Raw genomic sequence first — 18,668 nt, forward strand, 5'->3', positions numbered from 1 at the left:
GGCTCACTGCAACCTCCGCCTCCCAGGTTCAAGCAATTCTCCTGCCTCAGCCTCCCGAGTAGCTGGGATCACAGGCACTTGCCACCACGCCAGGCTAATTTTTTGCATTTTTAGTAGAGATGGGGTTTCACCATGTTGGCCAGCCTAATCTTGAACTCTTGATCTCAGGTGATCCGCCCGCGTCAGCCTCCCAAAGTGTTGAGATTACAGGCGTGAGCCACTGCGCCTGGCCTTTTTTTTTTTTTCTTCTGAGACAGAGTCTCACTCTGTTATCCAGGCTGGAGTGCAGTGGTGGGATCTTGGCTCACTGCAGCCTCGACCAGCCTCCCTGGCTCAAGCAATCCTCCCACCTCAGCATCCTGAGTAGCTAGGACCACAGGCGCACGCCATCACTCCTGGCTAATATATGTATATATTTTTTGAGACCGAGTCTTGCTCTGTTGCCGAAGCTGGAGTGCAGTGGTATGATCTCGGCTCACTGCAACCTCCGCCTCCTGGGTTCAAGTGATTCTCCTGTCTTGCCCTCCCGAGTAGCTGGGACTACAGGCGCATGCCACCACACCCGGCTGATTTTTTTTATTTTTAGTCGAGATGGGGTTTCACCATGTTAGCCAGGGTGGTCTCCATCTCCTGACCTTGTGGTCTGCCCGCCTCGGCCTCCCAAAGTGCTGGGATTACAGGCGTGAGCCACCGCACCCGGCTAATTTTTTTTGAGGTGGAGTTTCGCTCCTTTGCCCAGTGTGGAGTGAAGTGGTGCGATCTTGGCTCACTGCAACCTCTGCCCCTTGGGTTCAAGTGATTCTCCTGCCTCAGCCTCCCAAGTGGCTGGGATTACAGGCATGCACCACCACACCTGGCTAATTTTTGTATTTTTAGTAGAGATGGGGTTTTGCCATGTTGCCCAGGCTGATCTCGAACTCCTGACCTCAGGTGATCCACTCTCCTTGGCCTCCCAAAATGCTAGGATTACAGGCACGAGCCACTGCGCACCGCCCTGATTTTTGTATTTTTTGTAGAGGTGGGGTTTCTCCATGTTTCCCAGGCTGGTCTCGAACTTTTGAGCTCAAGCAATCTGCCTTCCTCAGCCTCCGAAAGTGCTGGGATTACAAGCCTGAGCCACCATGCCTGGCCTTTTTTTTAAAATTAATTAATTAATTAGTTTTTTTTTTTTTTTGAGACGGAGTCTCGCTCTGTCACCCAGGCTGCATGGAGTGCAGTGGCATGATCTCGCCTCACTGCAAGCTCCGCCTCCCAGGTTCATGCCATTCTCCTGTCTCAGCCTCCCGAGTAGCTGGGACTACAGGCGCCCGCCACCGCGCCCAGCTAATTTTTTTGTATTTTTAGTAGAGACGGGGTTTCACTGTGTTAACCAGGATGGTCTCGATCTACTGACCTCTTGATCTGCCTGCCTCGGCCTCCCGAAGTGCTGGGATTACAGACGTGAGCCACCGTGCCCGGTTTTTTTTTTTTAAGATGGAGTTTCGCTTTTGTTACCCAGATTCGAGTGCAATGGTGCGATATTGGTTCACTGCAACCTCCACCTCCTGGGTTCAAGTGATTCTCCTGCCTCAGCCTCCCGAGTAGCTGGGATTACAGGCATGCGTCAGCATGCCTGGCTAATTTTGTATTTTTAGTAGAGACAGGTTTTCTCCATGTTGGTCAGGCTGGTATCAAACTCCCGACCTCAAGTGATCCGCCTGCTTCGGCCTTCCAAAGTGCTGGGATTACAGGCGTGAGCCACCTCACCTGGCCAGCTTTTTTTTTTTTTTTTTTGAGATGGAGTCTCACTCTGTTGCCCAGGCTGGAGTGCATGGCGCGATCTTGGCTCCTGCAACCTCCACCTCCTGGGTTCATGTGATTCTCCTGCTTCAGCCTCCCAAGTAGCTGGGATTACAGGTATGAGCCACCGTGCCCAGCCAGCAATTTCTATAAATAGGAATTTAGAGTAGCTTACAAAATTACACCAGCCAGAAGACTTAATTTAGCCTTAAGGAATAGGGTTCTCTGTTTTCCAATTTCTTAGGTTTGATAGCTAAGCATTTTCTTTTTCTTTTTTTTTTTTTTGAGACGGAGTCTGCTCTGTCACCCAGGCTGGAGTGTGGAGTGCAGTGGTGCGATCCTGGCTCACTGTAAGCTCCGCCTCCTGGGTTCATGACATTCTCCTGCCTCGGCCTCCCGAGTAGCTGGGACTACAGGTGCCCGCCACCACACCTGGCTAATATATGTATATATATATTTTTTGTATTTTTAGTAGAGACGGGGTTTCACTGTGTTAGGATGGTCTTGATCTCCTGACCTCATGATCTGCCCACCTTGGCCTCCCAAGGTGCTGGGATTACAGGCATGAGCCACTGCACCCGGCCATAGCTAAGCATTTTCTTAGTTTTACTCAGGGTCCAGGGTAGAAAGATGGATGAGATGCATTAGTAGAAGATCATAAACTGAGGGTGTCAAAGTTGGTGAAGCTGGTCTGTGTTCTGTGTTGAAGTGGTTAAATCTGAACGAACTTTAGCAGTATGTTGACTTAATTTATATTTATGTTTTAAAAGCAGGATTCTACTGGAACAATCAGCTGCATATTTAAAAAATTACTTTTATGACCAAATGTCTTTTATCTTGCTTGTCATGAGATACATTTAATGGTGTTGAGGTTTTGGGCTGGGCGCAGTGGCTCACACCTGTAATCCCAGTACTTTGGGAGGCCGAGCCGTGTGGATCACCTGAGCTCAGGAGTTCGAGACCAGCCCGTCCAACATGGTGAAACCCCTTCTTTACTAAAAAATACAAAAATTAGCTGGGCGTGGTGGCGCACACCTGTAATCCAAGCTGCTTGGTAGGCTGAGGCAGGAAAATTGCCTGAACCTGGGAGGTGGAGGTTGCAGTGAGCCAAGTTTGAGGTTTTGCAGTGTTGAGGTTTTTCTTCTCAGTTATACCTTTTTGAGCTAATCGTTTTAAAAAATACCACTGTCTAAAATACACTGAAATTAATTTTACTATTTATAATTTTTGGTTCTGGATTGACTGTACAGAAAATGTTTCATTTTCTTACTGTGACCTTTGACAAAGAAGGGTGAGTAATTTGTGGTGTGGGCAGGAGACTCAGTGGCATTCCCCACTTCCTCTGGAGTTGGTCAGTGTGGTATAATTCTATTTCAGTTGTGGGCATTCACCAATATTGTTTCCTCCTTTTCCTGCAGGGCCACTGCTCTCCAGGAAGATAAGGCTTTTAAAGCAGCCTAGCACTAGAAGGTGAGGTAAGGTACTTGAAAAGAGACATTTCTGCAAAAGAAAGTTGAGGAATAATCACATACTGGCCAAAATGATAACCACAGAATTATATTTATTTATTTTTATTTATTTTTTTGAGACAAAGTCTTGCTCTGTCACCCAGGCTGGAGTGCAATGGTGTGATCTTGGCTCACTGCAACCTTTGCCTCCCGGGTTCAAGCAATTCTCCTGCCTCAGCCTCCCAAGTAGCTGGGATTACAGGCATGTGCCCCCGCGCCCAGCTAATTTTGTATTTTTAGTAGAGACGGGGTTTCTCCATGTTGGTCGGGCTGGTCTCGAACTCCCGACGTCAGGTGATCTGCCCGCCTCGGCCTCCCAAAGTGCTGGGATTACAGGGGTGAGCCACCGCTGCCCAGCTTATTCGTTTTTGAGACAGGATCTCTGTCTGTCACCCATGCTGGAGTGCAGTGGCATGATTACAGCTCACTGCAGACCTTGACCTCCTAGGCTCAAGCCATCCTCCCACCTTGGCCTCCCATGTAGCTGGGACTACAGGGGCATGTCACCATGCCCGGCTAATTTTTGTAACTTTTTGTGGAGATGGGAACTCACTATGTTGTCTGGGCTGATCTCAAACCCCTGGGCTCAAACGATCCTCCCGCCTCAGCCTCTCAAAGTGCTGTGATTAATAGACATGAGCCTCCGCACCTGACTTAGAATTTTAAAACATTAATAGTGGAGGAAAAGCTCTATTGGATAATACATACATTTAAGTAGTGTGGAAGATAAAAGTGGAAAGAGGCTGGGTGCGGTGGCTCACACCTATAATCCCAGCACTTTGGGAGGCCGATGTGCACAGATCAACTGAGGTCAGGAGTCTGAGACCAGCCTGGCCAACATGGCGAAACCCTGTCTCTGATAAAAATACAAAAATTAGCTGGGCGTGGTGGCAGGTGCCTGTAATCCCAGCTACTTGGGAGGCTGAGAAAAGAGAATCACTTGAACATGGGAGGTGGAGGTTGCAGTGAGCTGAGATCCTGCCATCACACTCCAGCCTGGGCAACAAGAGTGAAACTGCATCTCAAAAAAAAAGTGGAAAGAAAAGGACTGGGCGTGGTGGCTCACACCTGTAATCCCAGCACTTTGGGAGGCCGAGGCGGGTACATCATTTTAGGTCAGGAGTCCAAGACCAGCCTGGTCGACATGGTAAAACCCTGTCTCTAGTAAAAATACAAAAATTAGCCAGGCGTGGTGGTGTGCGCCTGTAATCCCAGCTACCTGGGAGGCTGAGGCAGGAGAATTGTTTGAATCTTGAATCTGGGAGGCAGAGGTTGCAGTGAGCCGAGATCGTGCTGTTGCACTCCATCCTGGGCGATGGAGTGAGACTCTGTCTCAAAAAAAAAAAAAAAAGAAAAAAAAGTGGAAAGAAAAGAGAAAAGGAGCCCGATCTCATGCCTGTAATCCCAGCATTTTGGGAGGCTAAGGTGGGAGGATTACTTGAAGCCAGGAGTTTGAGACCAGCTTGGGCAACAAAGAGAGACCCTGTCTCTACAAAAAATAAAAAAAAAAAAAAAAATTAGTTGAGTGTGGTGGCACGTTCCCTAGGTACTCGGGAAGCTGAGGTGGGGGCATCTTTTGAGCCCAAGAGTTTTTTTTTTTTTTTTTTTTTTTTAAATTTTTTGTAGAGAGGGTTTTGCCATGTTGCCCACGCTGGCCTTGAACTGCTGAGCTTAAGCGATTCATCTGCCTGAGCCTCACAAACTGCTGGATTACAGATGTGAGCCACTGGGCCTTAGCCTAGGAGTTGAGGCTGCAGTGAGCTTTCATCACAGCAAATCACACCACTGCACTCCAGACTGGGTGACAAAGTGAGACCCTGGCTCAAAAAATAAAAAAATGAAAAGTCTCTTGTCGTCCCCTCCCTTTTTTTTTTTTTTTTTTTTTTTTTTTTGGATACAGAATCTTGCACTGTTGCCTGGGCTGGAGTGCAATGGCGTAATCTCGGCTCATTGCAACCTCTGCCTCCCGGGTTCAAGCGATTCTCCTGCCTCAGCCTCTTGAGTAGCTGGGATTACAGGTGCCCACCATCACGCCGAGCTAAGTTTTTGTATTTTCAGTAGAGACGAGGTTTTACTATGTTAGCCAGGCTGGTCTCCTGACCTTGTGATCCTCCCACCTCAGCCTCCCAAAGTGCTGGGATTACAGGCGTGAGGCATCCCATTTTATTTTTTCTGTAAATAGGGAATACAACACATGGTACTAACTTGATTAAAAGTTCAAAAGGGTTATACAAAGGAGGGAAAGAAACCTTCCTTCCATCTATCCCCTCAGCCTGTTGTTCACCTTTCCAGAGACAGTTGTGATCCCCCCTGATTCCTGGGGTCTCCTCCAGAGATGGCCCTTGGCAGTGTTCTTACCAAGTTTGAGTATAGATTTTTTTTTTTTTTTGAGACAGAGTCTCTCTCTGTTGCCCAGGCTGGAGTGCAGTGGCTCGATCTCTGCTCACTGCAACCTCCACCTCCTGGATTCAAGTGATTCTCCTATCTCAGCCTCCTGAGTAGCTGAGACGACAAGTGCGTGCCACCACACCCAGCTAATTTTTATATATTCAGTAGAGACTGGGTTTCACCATGTTGGCCAAGCTGGTCTCGAACTGAACTCAGGTGATCCCGTCCGTCTTGATCTCCCAAAGTGCTGGGATTACAGGCGTGGGATTCAGGCCCCTGCGCCGGCCTGAATATAACATTTCTTTTTTTTTTTTTTTTTTTTTTTTTTTGAGACCGAGTCTCCCTCTGTCACCTGGGCTGGAGTGCAGTGGCTCGATCTCTGCTCACTGCAACCTCCGCCTCCTGGGTTCAATTGATTCTCCTGCCTCAGCATCCTGAGTAGCTGGCATTACAGGCGCGCACCACCACACCCGGCTAATTTTTTTTTGTATTTTTAGTAGAGACGGGGTTTCAGTGTGTTGGTCAGGCTGGTCTCGAACTCCTGACCTCGTGATCCACCTGCCTCGGCCCCCCAGAGTGCTGGGATTACAGGCGTGAGCCCCCGCGCCAGCCTGAATATAACATTCTTTTTTTTTTTTTTTGAGACTGAGTCTCGCTCTGTCACCCAGGCTGGAGTGCAGTGGCTCGATCTCTGCTCACTGCAACCTCTGCCTCCCGGGTTCAATCGATTCTCCCGCCTCAGCATCCTGAGTAGCTGGGATTACAGGTGCGCACCACCACACCCGGCTATTTTTTTTTTTTTTTTTTAGTAGAGGCTGGGTTTCAGTATGTTGGTCAGGCTGGTCTCGAACTCCTGACCTCGTAATCCACCTGCCTTGGCCCCCCAAAGTGCTGGGATTACAGGCGTGAGCCACTGTGCCTGGTCATGAATATAACATTTCTTTTTTTTTTTTTTTTTTTTGGGAGACGGACGGAGTCTCGCTCTATCGCCCAGGCTGGAGTGCAGTGGCGCGATCTCGGCTCACTGCAAGTTCCGTCTCCTGGGTTCACACCATTCTCCTGCCTCAGCCTCCCGAGTAGCTGGGACTACAGGTGCCTGCCACCACGCCCGGCTAATTTTTTGTATTTTTTTAGTAGAGACGGGGTTTCACTGTGTTAGCCAGGAGACCTGTTAGCCAGAAAGGTCTCGATCTCCTGACCTCGTGATCCGCCCGCCTTGGCCTCCCAAAGAGCTGGGATTACAGGCGTGAGCCACTGCGTCCGGCGCATATAACATTTCTAATGGTTAATCTGTCCCTAATTCTTAGACAGTTTGGTTCTTTTTTTTTGTTTTTCTTCTTATTATTTGTTTTAGCTATTTCCTACAGGAAGGAGGTTATTTCTTACTTTGGTTGTAATAGATAATGTTGCAATTAACATCTCTGCATAAAGTTTTTTTTTTTTTTTTTTTTTTGAGACGGAGTCTCGCTCTGTCACCCAGGCTGGAGTGCAGTGGCACGATCTCGGCTCACTGCAAGCTCCGCCTCCCGGGTTCACGCCATTCTTCTGCCTCAGCCTCCCGAGTAGCTGGGACTACAGTTGCCTGTAGCCACACCTGGATAATTTTTTGTATTTTTAGTAGAGAGGGGGTTTCACCCTGTTAGCCAGGACGGTCTCGATCTCCTGACCTCGTGATCCGCCCGCTTCGGCCTCCCAAAGTGCTGGGATTACAGGCGTGAGCCACCACGCCCGGCCTGCATAAAGTTTTTTAAAAGTTTTTTGTATCATAAGAAGTGAATTGTGGCCGGGCGCAGTGGCTTACGCCTGTAATCCCAGCACTTTGGGAGGCTGAGGCGGGCGGATCACAAGGTCAGGAGATGGAGACCGTCCTGGCTAACATGGTGAAACCCCGTCTCTACTAAAAATACAAAAAAAAAAAAAATTAGCCGGGCGTAGTGTTAGGCGCCTGTAGTCCCAGCTACTCTGGAGGCCGAGGCAGGAGAATGGCGTGAACCTGGAAGGCAGAGCTTGCAGTGAGCTGAGATAGTGCCATTGCACTCCAGCCTGGGCGACAGAGTGAGACTCTGCCTCAAAAAAAAAAAAAAAAAAAAGTGAATTGTGATTTACAGTTTTGTAGAAGCACATTTATCAATGTCAAGTAAGGCAGATTTGTACTGATTTTTATTTTTAAGTATTGTGCACGTTTTCTGTAGTCCCTTTTCTGTGACTTGCATGGATTTGTGATTTTTATAGCCATGTGGAGACCTAGTCTCAGTGTTCCCTGCCCTTGGGGACATGAGGAGCCACAGATTCATTCTTGCTGAGGCAGTCATGGCCCTTGGATACCCTAAGTATAGGGGAGTGTGCCAGTTGTGGGGAGCTCAAGGATGAATGAAGCACTTGGAAGGATATGTCGTATTCAGGGAAACAGTAGCCAGTGCCCAGCTTGATTCCCTGTTTTGGCATTTACTCTTCATTTCTATAGATGTTGTTTTTGTATATGAGGTATGAGAATCTACAAACAAGCACCTCTTATAGAGTTCTTTCTCCTAATCGGTACACAGTTTTCTGTATCTATAGGTTCCACATCTGTGGATTCCTCCAACTATGGATTGAAAATATTTGGGAAAAAAGGATGGTTGCGTCCGTATGAAACATGAATAAACTTTTATCATCGTCATCATTTCCTAAATGTTAGAACAACTATTTTCATACCATTTACATTGTATTATGTGTTATAAGTAATCCAGGGATGTTTAAAGTATACAGGAAGATGTTTAAGGGATCCAGGGCTGTGCAGGACGTGCCTTGTTAACAAAATGTTTACAAGCAGTATACTTGGTAAAAGTCATCGCTATTCTCTAGTCTCAATAAACTGGGGACACAGTGCATTGCGGAAAACCACAGGGACCTCTGCTCTTGAAAGCGGGGTATTGTCCAAGGTTTCTCCCCATGTGATAGTCTGAAATATAGCCTCGTGGAATGAGAAAGACCTGACCTTCCCCCAGCCCGACACCTGTAAAGGGTCTATGCTGAGGTGGATTAGTAAAAGAGGAAAGCCGCTTGCAGTTGAGATAGAGGAAGGCCACTGTCTCCTGCCTGCCCTTGGGAACTGAATGTCTCCGTGTAAAACCTGATTGTACATTTGTTCAATTCTGAGATAGGAGAAAAACTGCCCTATGGGGGGAGGCGAGACATGTTTGCAGCAATGCTGCCTTGTTATTCTTTACTCCACTGAGATGTTTGGGTGGAGAGAAACATAAATCTGGCTTATGTGTACGTCCATCCAGTCACAGTACCTTCCCTTAAACTTAATTATGACGTAGATTCTATTGCTTACATGTTTTTGTCCTTATTATGATGCAAATATTACACCATTTTATATAAGGGACTTGAGCACTTGTGGATTTTGATATCCTGGAACCAATCCCTCATGGATACCGAGGGAAGAGTTTGTAAATGTATTAAAACAAAGTAGTGGAATTGGAATCAAATTCTTTTGATTTTGTAGGTATCTGTGTTTAGCCTTTTCACTGTGCTGTGAAGATTTCCCCCCCAGGCATCCTAGGGGTTGATGGGAGATTTACTTAAGATTCCCAAGGCTGTCTAGGGCAGAAGTGAACCAGTTCTGCCTTGGTTGTCATAAACACCTCTGTTAATTAGCTCAGTTGTTCTCCAGGGATAGATTGATTCTCTAGCTAGCTTTTGCCAAGAAAAATGATCCAGTCAATAATGGAATTCCAAATAAGATTTCCTTTTTATTTGGCTATTAATCAGAACCTGGGATAACATCCATTTTCTGGGCCCTGATTTTACTATGGAATATTTCCATAAAACATGCATGTGATTACTGTAAATGTCCTGTAAACACTCCTGCTTGGGCTGGTAGGTCATCTTTTTTTTTTTTTTTTTCTTTTGAGACAGTTTTAGTCTTGTTGCCCAGGCTGGAGTGCAGTGGCGTGATCTCAGCTCACTGCAACCTCTGCCTCCCAGATTCAAGTGATTCTCCTGCCACAGCCTCCCAAGTAGCTGGAATGATACACCATGCGCCACCACACCTGGCTAATTTTTGTATTTTTAGTAGAGATGGGGATTCTTCATGTTGGTCAGGCTGGTCTCAAACTGCGACCTCAGATGATCTGCCTGCCTCGGCCTTCTAAAGTGCTGGGATTACAGGCGTGAGCCACCATGCCTGGACTGTAGGTCACCTCTGTGTCCAATCTGCCAGAGGTCAGGGATACGTTGCCGTCTAGGATTTTTTATATTGGAGACCAGTCTGATGAGTAGCCCTTGAGCAGGGACTGGATTCTAAGTCTTGGAGAAAATGAGTAAGTTCTACCTCTTATGTGAGGTATGATTGAAGAAATTGTGTTTTCTTTGTTTTTTGAGAGGCAGGGTCTTGCCCTGTTGCCTACCTGGAGTGTGGTGGCATAATCATAGCTCACTTCAGTCTTGACCTCCTAGGGTCAAGCAATCCTCCCACCTCAGCCTCCTGAGTAGCTGGGACTACTAGCACGTGCCACTATGCCCAGCTAATTTTTAAATTTTTTTGTAGCGATGTGGTCTTGGCTATGTTGCCCAGGCTGGATCCTCCTGCCTCAGCCTCCCAAAGTGTTGGGATTACAGGCGTGAGCCACCACACCCGGCCCAGAAGTGTCTTATATTTTTAGACTTTTGAGCAGTGTTGGAACGATTGAATTGCCTGAGTGGAGAAATTTGGTAGGAAGAGAGTAGAAGAGAGGCTCTTTATTAAAGACCTAAAAATAGAATTCATTAAAGTCACAAATAGATAACAGTAGGATTCCTGTCTGACTCTCTTCTGCTTTGGGTTTGTGCTACCAGCTGTTGCGTTTGCTTACCTAGAAAATAGAATAATATTTTGTCAGAAGGGTCAACAGTATGGTCCTAAAACATTGTGTTTGCAAGTCTGAGGATGTGCTTTTTCCAATTTTAAAAGTAGTTAGAAAGTGACCAGATTCTTTCATGTAGGGGAGAAATCTTAGCAGGAGACGTTGGTTCTTCTGCTTGTAGTGCCAGCCCTAACCTGACAGGTCCTGTGGGGACCCCTGTCTCTTCAGAGCCCTGAGCCTTTTTCCCTTCTAGTTGGACTTTGCTGACTAGAGAGGGATATCCTATGTAGGCCACCTGATTACCTGATTTAATCAGATGGTACCTCTGTTATTTTGGAGAAGAGAGTCTCCTTTTGATTCTAATAGCTGAAGATAAAAATGGCTCCGTATGCTTTCTTCCTGTGGAGGGCTCTGCTGCCCTGAGCTGCCTGTGCCCTTTACATCTGTGTGAGGGGGTGGAGGAATGTCCTGGCCTCCTCACTTCCATCCTGCTATGGGCTTCCAGGAAGAATGGGGTCCATTGTGGGCTGTACCCAAAGGCACAGTCCTCTGCCTCAGTGTCAGGCTTACTGTGGTCTCTGTGCCCAGTTTGCTGTGGTCACTGGGTGCCAAGGGGTTGGGAGCTCAGGAAGCCATTGCTGCTTTTTTTTTTTTTTTTGAGACGGAGTCTTGCTCTTGTCACCCAGCCTGGAGTGCAATGGCACGATCTCTGCTCACTGCAACCTCCGCCTCCCAGGTTCAAGCAATTCTCCTGCCTCAGCCTCCCGAGTAGCTGGGATTACAGATGCGCGCCACCACATTGGGCTAATTTTTGTATTTTTATTGTTATTATTTTATTTTATTTTATTTGAGACGGAGTCTCGCTCTGTCGCCCAGGCTGGAGTGCAGTAGCTTAATCTCGGCTCACTGCAAGCTCCGCCTCCCGGGTTCATGCCATTCTCCTGCCTCAGCCTCCGGAGTAGCTGGGACTACAGGCATCTGCCACCACGCCTGGCTAATTTTTTTGTATTTTTAGTAGAGATGGGGTTTCACCGTGGTCTTGATCTCCTGACCTCGTGATCTGCCCGCCTCAGGCTCCCAAAGTGCTGGGATTACAGGCGTGAGCCACCGCACCCGGCCAAGGACGGAGTGTTGTTCTGTCGCCCAGGCTGGAGTGCAGTGGTGCGATCTTGGCTCACTGCAACCTTTTGGAGACAAAAGGCCTTTGTTGTGTCTGGCCTTTATCTTTGTTGTAATGACCCTGAAACCGTGGCCTGAGTCTTTGAGGTGGAAGTTGCCCTAGAAATGTCATGTAATATACCAGAATTTATCAAGCCTTTCTCTAGTACTGGGACACTTAACATGTGCCTGTGGTACTTTTGTTTGTTTTGCTATTATTTCACATTTAATTTCATTTTTGTAAATAAATAATTTTGAAGCCAAATTCAGATTTTTCATCTTTATGTCTACTTAGGTTGCTTAGACCTAATGTGGTAGATCAGGTTTTGTTTTTGTTTTCTTTCTTTTTTTTTTTTTTTTTTTTTTGAGACAAGGTCTCACTCTGTCACCCAAGCTAGAGTGCAGTGGCATGATCATGGCTCACTGCAGTCTGAATTCCTGGGCTTAAGCAATCCTCCTGCCTCAGCCTTCTGCAAAGCTGGAACTACAGGCATGTGCCACCATGCCAGCCTATTTTTTTTTCCTTTTGTAGATACATGGTCTTGTTATGTTGCCCAGGCTAGTCTCAAACTCCTAGCCTCAGGTGATCCTCTCATCTCAACCTTCCAAAGTGGTGGGATTACAGGTGTGAACCACCATGCCCAGCCTGTTTTCTTGTTTTGAATCCAAGCTTTCTGAGGGTTGTCCTTTAGGAGGAGAATGTAAGGAATTCCAGAGTCAGGGAGGCATGGGCTGTGCTCTGGGAGAGGCCTGGGGAGGCACTGCTCTGGAACTGCCTGTAGGAGTGGTGTCAGACTGCCAGCAGAAGCCAGGGTGGTGAGGGGAGGGCTGAATGTTCTGCAAGAGAGATTTATACCACTATTTTCTTTTTCTTTTATTTATTTATTTATTTATTTATTTATTTATTTATTTATTTATTTTTTGAGACGGAGTCTTGCTCTGTCGCCCAGACTGGAGTGCAGTGGTACTATCTCGGCTCACTGCAAGCTCCGCCTCCCAGGTTCACGCCATTCTCCTGCCTCAGCCTCCCTGGTAGCTGGGACTATAGGCGCATGCCACCACGCCCGGCTAATTTTTTGTATTTTTAGTAGAGACAGGGTTTCACCGTGTTAGCCAGGATGGTCTCGATCTCCTGACCTTGTGATCCTCCTGCCTCAGTATCCTGAAGTGCTGGGATTACAGGCGTGAGCCACCGCGCCCGGCCCTTTTTCTTTTTTTTGAGACAGAGTCTCACTCTGGAGTGTAGTGGCATGATCTCGGCTCACTGCAAGCTCCACCTCGTGGGTTCAAGTGATTCTCCTAACTCAGCCTCCCAAGTAGCTGGGATTACAGGTGTGCATCACCACGCCTGGCTAATTTTTATATTTTTAGTAGAGACAGGGTTTCACCCTGTTGGCCAGGCTGGTCTCGAACTCCTGACCTCGGGTGATCTGCCCACCTCAGCCTCCCAAAGTGTTGGGATTACAGGCGTGAGACACTGCGCTCAGCCTGATATGAATATTCTTGACGGTGTCTTCTGGGTATATACCTAAGAGTGAACTGTTAGATATATAGTATTTGATTTTTTTTGTTTGTTTTGTTTTGCTTTGTTTTTGAGATTCAGTCTCGCTCTGTTGCCCAGGCTGGAGTGCAGTGGTGTGATCTTGGCTCACTGGATCCTCTGCCTCCCAGGTTGAAGTGATTTTCCTGTCTCAGCCTAACCAGTAGCTGGGATTACAGGCGTGTGCCATGCCTGGCTAATTTTTGTATTTTTAGTAGTAATGGGGTTTCTCTGTGTTGCCCAGACTGATCTCGAACTCCTGGATTGCTCAAGCAATCCACCTGCCTTGGCCTCCCAAAGTGCTGGGATTACAGGTATGAGCCACCGTGCCCGGCCTGATGTTTTAATTATTGAGAATTTTGTATTTTTTGTAGAGATGGGGTTCTTCCTCTTTGCCTAGGCACACGACTGTCTATCCCAGATGGCTGCACTGGCCTAGGACAGACGGTTCTTCCCCCAGTACGTCAAGACCCTGGAGGGTGCAAGCTACAGAACAGCTGGGCTCCTGCATTCCTCCCAGACCCTGTCTTCAGTAGGACAACAGGCAACAAACTTAAATTTGGTAATATGAATTTAGAAAATGTTAATGTTTTCCAGAACAGTGAAACTACAATATAAAGGTTAGACTTGAGAACCAAAGTTACTCTCTAGCTTCCCTCTTCTGCCCTTCATGTGCTCAGCACTTGTATCTGTGTTCTCACTACCCCTGAGCCCTGAGTTCTTCTGGGGTTGGCCCAGGAGGTGCCTTGGTTCAGAGAGATACCTGGGAGGAAACCACATGGAATCAACAACAGTACTACATATTTGTTATTATTTGGAGTAATTAGCCCCATACATTCTTTTTTTTTTTTTTTTTTTTTGTTTGAGATGGGATCGTGCTCTGTCACCCAGGCTGGAGTGCAGTGGCGTGATCTCGGCTCACTGCAACCTCCGCCTCCCGGGTTCAAGCGATTCTCCTGCCTCGGCCTCCCCATTAGCTGGGACTACAACAGGCTCCCGCCACCATACACGGCTAATTTTTTGTGTTTTTCATAGAGACGGGGTTTCACCATGTTAGCCAGGATGGTCTCGATCTCCTGACCTCGTGATCTGCCCGCCTCGGCTTCCCAAAGTGCTGGGAATTCAGACGTGAGCCACCACGCCCGGCCAGCCCCATAAATTCTTGATAGCAATTTTCCTGAGGTACTCAAGTTTTACTAGAAAAACATAGCATCATGTTTTGATTCATTAGTTGTCTAGATGCTCACCCTCCTGTATTATCATTCTGGCTAACTATTAAGTACCATTACTCCCAGATTGAATTTATGACACCTGCTGCCCACCATGCCCATTAATCAAACAATAAGGGCAGGGCAAACTGCTGTCTCATGTTGTTTCAAACTGCCCCACCTCCTTCCTCTTCCATCTTATGTTATTAATGAAAGAGTTTGACAATACTTAAATGTTAGTGAAAATAAGAGAAAAGTCGTTTGTATCTTTAGGTGAGGGTGTAAATTGAAGGACATTTTGCCAAATCTAACAATTCCAATGTACATATCCTTTGACCCAGCAATTCCACATCTAGGATTATATCCTTAGATATGTTCTAAGAAGAATGCAAGGATGAGTGTGAGAACACCCTGGAGAGCAAGATATGCAAGATACTTAGACATTTAGATGTGCCACACACAATAGGGGTGAATGAGAAGAAGGATCTACCCACTGGGGCTGAGGTCTCTCAGTTCTGCTAAATTAGAAAAAGGAACGGTTATTTATTTATTTTTTTTTGATAGGGATTCTCATTCTGTCTCCCATGCTGGAGTGCAGTGGCGCGGTCTTGGCTCACTGAAACCTTTGCTTCCCAGGGTCAAGCGATTCCCCTGCCTCAGCTTCCTGAGTAGCTGGGATTACAGGTGCGTGCCACTATGACCATCTAATTTTTTATATTTTTAATAGAGACGGGGTTTCACCATGTTGGCCAGGCTGGCCTTGAACTCCTGACCTTATGATCTGCTTGCCAGGTGTGAGCCACTGCGCCCGGCAAAAAAGGAACAGTTTTGAAGAATTTGATTTCATTTGAACTTTAAGAATGAAATTAAAAGAGATGTGCTTGTTTATGTGTTTAGAGATATACATTCAATGTGTCATTTGTGGAGAGCTACTGAAGAAACTCAGTCTGCTCACCTGAGGACCTGGGAAGGAGACCTGCTTTTCATTTGTGTCCTAGTGTGGTGTTGGAATTTATTTTACCTCCATGTGAATTACCTTTTTTTTTTTTTTGAGACACAGTTTTGCTCTTGTTGCCCAGGCTGGAGTGCAATGGCGTGATCTTGGCTCACCGCAACCTCTGCCTCCCGGATTCAAGCGATTCTGCCTCAGCCTCCCGAATAGCTGGGATTACAGGCATGTGCCACCACGCCTGGCTAATTTTGTATTTTCAGTAGAAAAGGGGTTTCTCCATGTTGGTCGGGCTGGTCTCGAACTCCCGACCTCAGGTGATCTGCCCACCTCTGCCTCCAGTAGTGCTGGGATTACAGGTGTGAGCCACCGTGCCTGGCCCTTGAATTACTTTTATTGCATTAAGTCAAAGGGGAGGACCAGATAGTTGATGACATCATTGTGAGATAGACTGGGAACCAATAGTAGGGAATCGGATACTGGGAAACACTGGATGCAGCGTGCCCACATTTTGCCCTTAGCTCTGGGACCTCTTAACTTGGTAATGATCTGATTTGGGTTTTTTTTCCTCTAGGAGGGAAGGTTCCTGGGAAGGGAAGATAGAATCTATTTTTAATCTTAAGAAAACATAGCTCAATGTAGTAATTTTGGGCCCTAGTGTGACATTTTCTTCCATTATAACCCAAGTCACTTTTAAAACAAAATCCTTTTTTTGTATATTTTGTGTTTGTAATGTTTCTAGAGGAAAATGCTTTTAAAGTATCCTCACTTCCCTTCGTAAACTTGGGAGGGCTTGGGACCTGGTGGGGTATGTGTTTTGAATCATGCTGTCTGGGGGATTAGTGCCTGGAATCCAGATTCCTACTGGACAAAGCGCTGGGGTTTGAGGTAAGTGGGGTGGGGTAGGGGGAGGGTTATATAGCTGTCACAGATTACAGAGCTTACCTGCTGACTGCTTCACAATTGTTGGTACATACACCTGCTTTGGCATGGACGTCCTGAGAGGGGGCTTGGACCATGACCCGTGTTCCTTTCTCTTACCACTTGTTTTTTTCCATTTTGGCTGGGCGCGGTGGCTTACGCCTGTAATCCCAGCACTTTGGGAGGCCGAGGCAGACGGATCACGAGGTCAGGAGATCGAGACTATCCTGGCTAACACGGTGAAACCCCGTCTCTACTAAAAATAGAAAAAATTACTGAGGTGTGGTGGCAGGTACCTGTAGTCCCAGCTACTTGGGCGGCTGAGGCAGGAGAATGATGTGGACCCGGGAGGTGGAGCTTGCAGTGAGCCGAGATCGCGCCACTGCCCTCTAGCCTGGGCGACAGAGTGAGACTCTGTCTCAAAAAAAAAAAAGTTTTTTTTTTTTATATAACTTTAAATTTACAGAAAAATTGCAAGAATAATTCAAGAAACTCCCAAATACTCCATCTAGAGTCACCATTTGTTTGCATTTTGCTGTGTTTGCTCTGTCATTCTCTTTTCTATCTATACCTTTTTTTCTGAACCATCTATGAGTAATTGACAGAAATCATGCCTCTTTATTCCTAATTTTTTTATTCTTTTATTTTTTTTTTTTGGGACAGGGTCTTGCTCTGTCACCTAGGTTGGAGTGCAGTGATGAGATCTTGGCTTATTGCCACCTCCGCCTCCCAAGCTTGAGCGATCTTCCTGCCTTAGCCTCCCGAGTAGCTGAGACTGCAGGTGCAGGCTACCATGCTGGCCTAATTTTGTATTTTTTTGTAGAGATGGGGTTTCACCATGTTGCCCAGGCTGGTCTCAAACTCATCAGTGCAAGCTATCTGCCCTTCTCAGCCTCCCAAAGTGCTGGGATTACAGACATGAGCCACAACCTGGCCTACTCCTAAATTCTTTTTTTTTTTTTTTTTTTTTTTGAGACGGAGTCTCACTCTGTTGTCTTGGTTGGAGTGCAGTGGCACGATCTTGGCTCACTGCAACTTCTGCCTCCCAGGTTCAAGCGATTTTCCTGCCACAATCTCCCTGAGTAGCTGGGACTACAGGCGCGCACTACTACGCCTGGCTAATTTTTGTACTTTAGTAGAGACAGGTTTCGCCATGTTGGCCAGGCTGGTCTCGAACTCCTGACCCAGGTGGTCCGCCTGCCTCAGCCTTCCAAAGTACAGGCGTGAGCCACCACGCCTGGCATTTTTTTCTATTTTTAATAGAGATGGGGTCCCACTATGTTGCCGGGGCTGGTCTCAAACTCCTGGGTTTAAGTGATCCTCCTGCCTCAGCCTCCCGAAATGCTGGGATTACAGGTATGAGCCACCGCTCCCAGCCAAGTTGTTTTTTTTTTTTTTGAGACAGAGTCTCATTCTTTCGCCCAGGTTGGAATGCAGTGGCGTGTTTTTGGCTCACTGCAGCCTCTGCCTCCTGGGTCAAGCAGTTCTCCTGCCTCAGCCTCCCAAGTAGCAGGGATCATAGGCACCTGCCACTATGTCCTGCTATTTTTTTTTTCTTTTTTTTGAGACGGAGTCTTGCTATGTTGCCCAGGCTGGAGTGCAGTGGCGCGATCTTGCTCACTGCAAGCTCTGCCTCCCGGGTTCACGCCATTCTCCTGCCTCAGCCTCCCAAGTAGCTGGGACTGCAGGCGTCCGCCAACACGCCTGGCTAATTTTTTGTATTTTTAGTAGAGATGTGGTTTCACTGTGTTAGTCAGGATGGTCTCGATCTCCTGACCTCGTGATCCGCCCGCGTCGGCCTCCCAAAGTGCTAGGATTACAGGCGTGAGCCACCGCGCCCGGCCTGTCCTGCTATTTTTGTATTTTTAGTAGAGACGGGGTTTCGCCACATTGGCCAGTCTGGTCTCAAACTCCTGACCTCAAGTGATCCTCCCGCCTTGGCCTCCCAGAGTACTGGGATTACAGGCGTGAGCTGCCTCGCCTGGCCCCAAGTCTATTCTTTTTTTTTTTTTTGAGACGGAGTCTCACTTTGTTGCCCAGGCTGGAGTGCAGTGGTGAGATCTCGGCTCCCTGCGACCTCTGCCTCCCGGGTTCAAGCAATTCTTCTGCCTCAGCCTCCTGAATAACTGGGATTATAGGCATGGGCCACCAAGCCCAGCTAATTTTTGTATTTTTAGTAGAGACAGGGTTTCACCATGTTGGTCAGGCTGTTCTCGAACTCCTGGCCTTGTGATCTGCCTGCCTTGGCCTCCTAAAGTGCTGGGATTACAGGCGTGAGCCACCGTACCCCGCCTGGCTCCAAGTCTATTCTTAAGACCACAGAACTTTTGATTTAAGATTCACTGGACAGATACATAACAATACATAAAATAAATGTTTTATTTACAA

At 47.1% G+C, this 18,668-nt stretch overlaps 1 protein-coding gene across 55 annotated transcripts in view; it reads left to right on the top strand.

Moving 5' to 3' along the window:
- DAG1 (dystroglycan 1) overlaps positions 1–18,668 on the top strand; it is a 66,668-nt gene that overhangs the window by 4,704 nt on the left and 43,296 nt on the right. For 6 of the 55 annotated variants that reach the window (XM_047447574.1, XM_047447565.1, NM_001438881.1 and 3 more), the window contains 3 exons: positions 3,198–3,254; positions 13,603–13,764; positions 14,975–15,094. The exons of 10 other annotated variants lie outside the window; for them this stretch is intronic. The gene's annotated coding sequence lies outside the window, so the exon portion shown is untranslated. Of the gene's footprint in view, positions 1–3,197; positions 3,255–13,446; positions 13,517–13,576; positions 13,765–14,974; positions 15,095–18,668 lie in introns of all 55 variants that reach the window. 39 more of the 55 variants (XM_047447572.1, XM_047447568.1, NM_001438887.1 and 36 more) reach the window with 15 other exon arrangements.

Source organism: Homo sapiens, chromosome 3 (assembly GCF_000001405.40).
Source record: "Homo sapiens chromosome 3, GRCh38.p14 Primary Assembly".
Classification (NCBI taxonomy): Eukaryota; Metazoa; Chordata; class Mammalia; order Primates; family Hominidae; genus Homo; species Homo sapiens.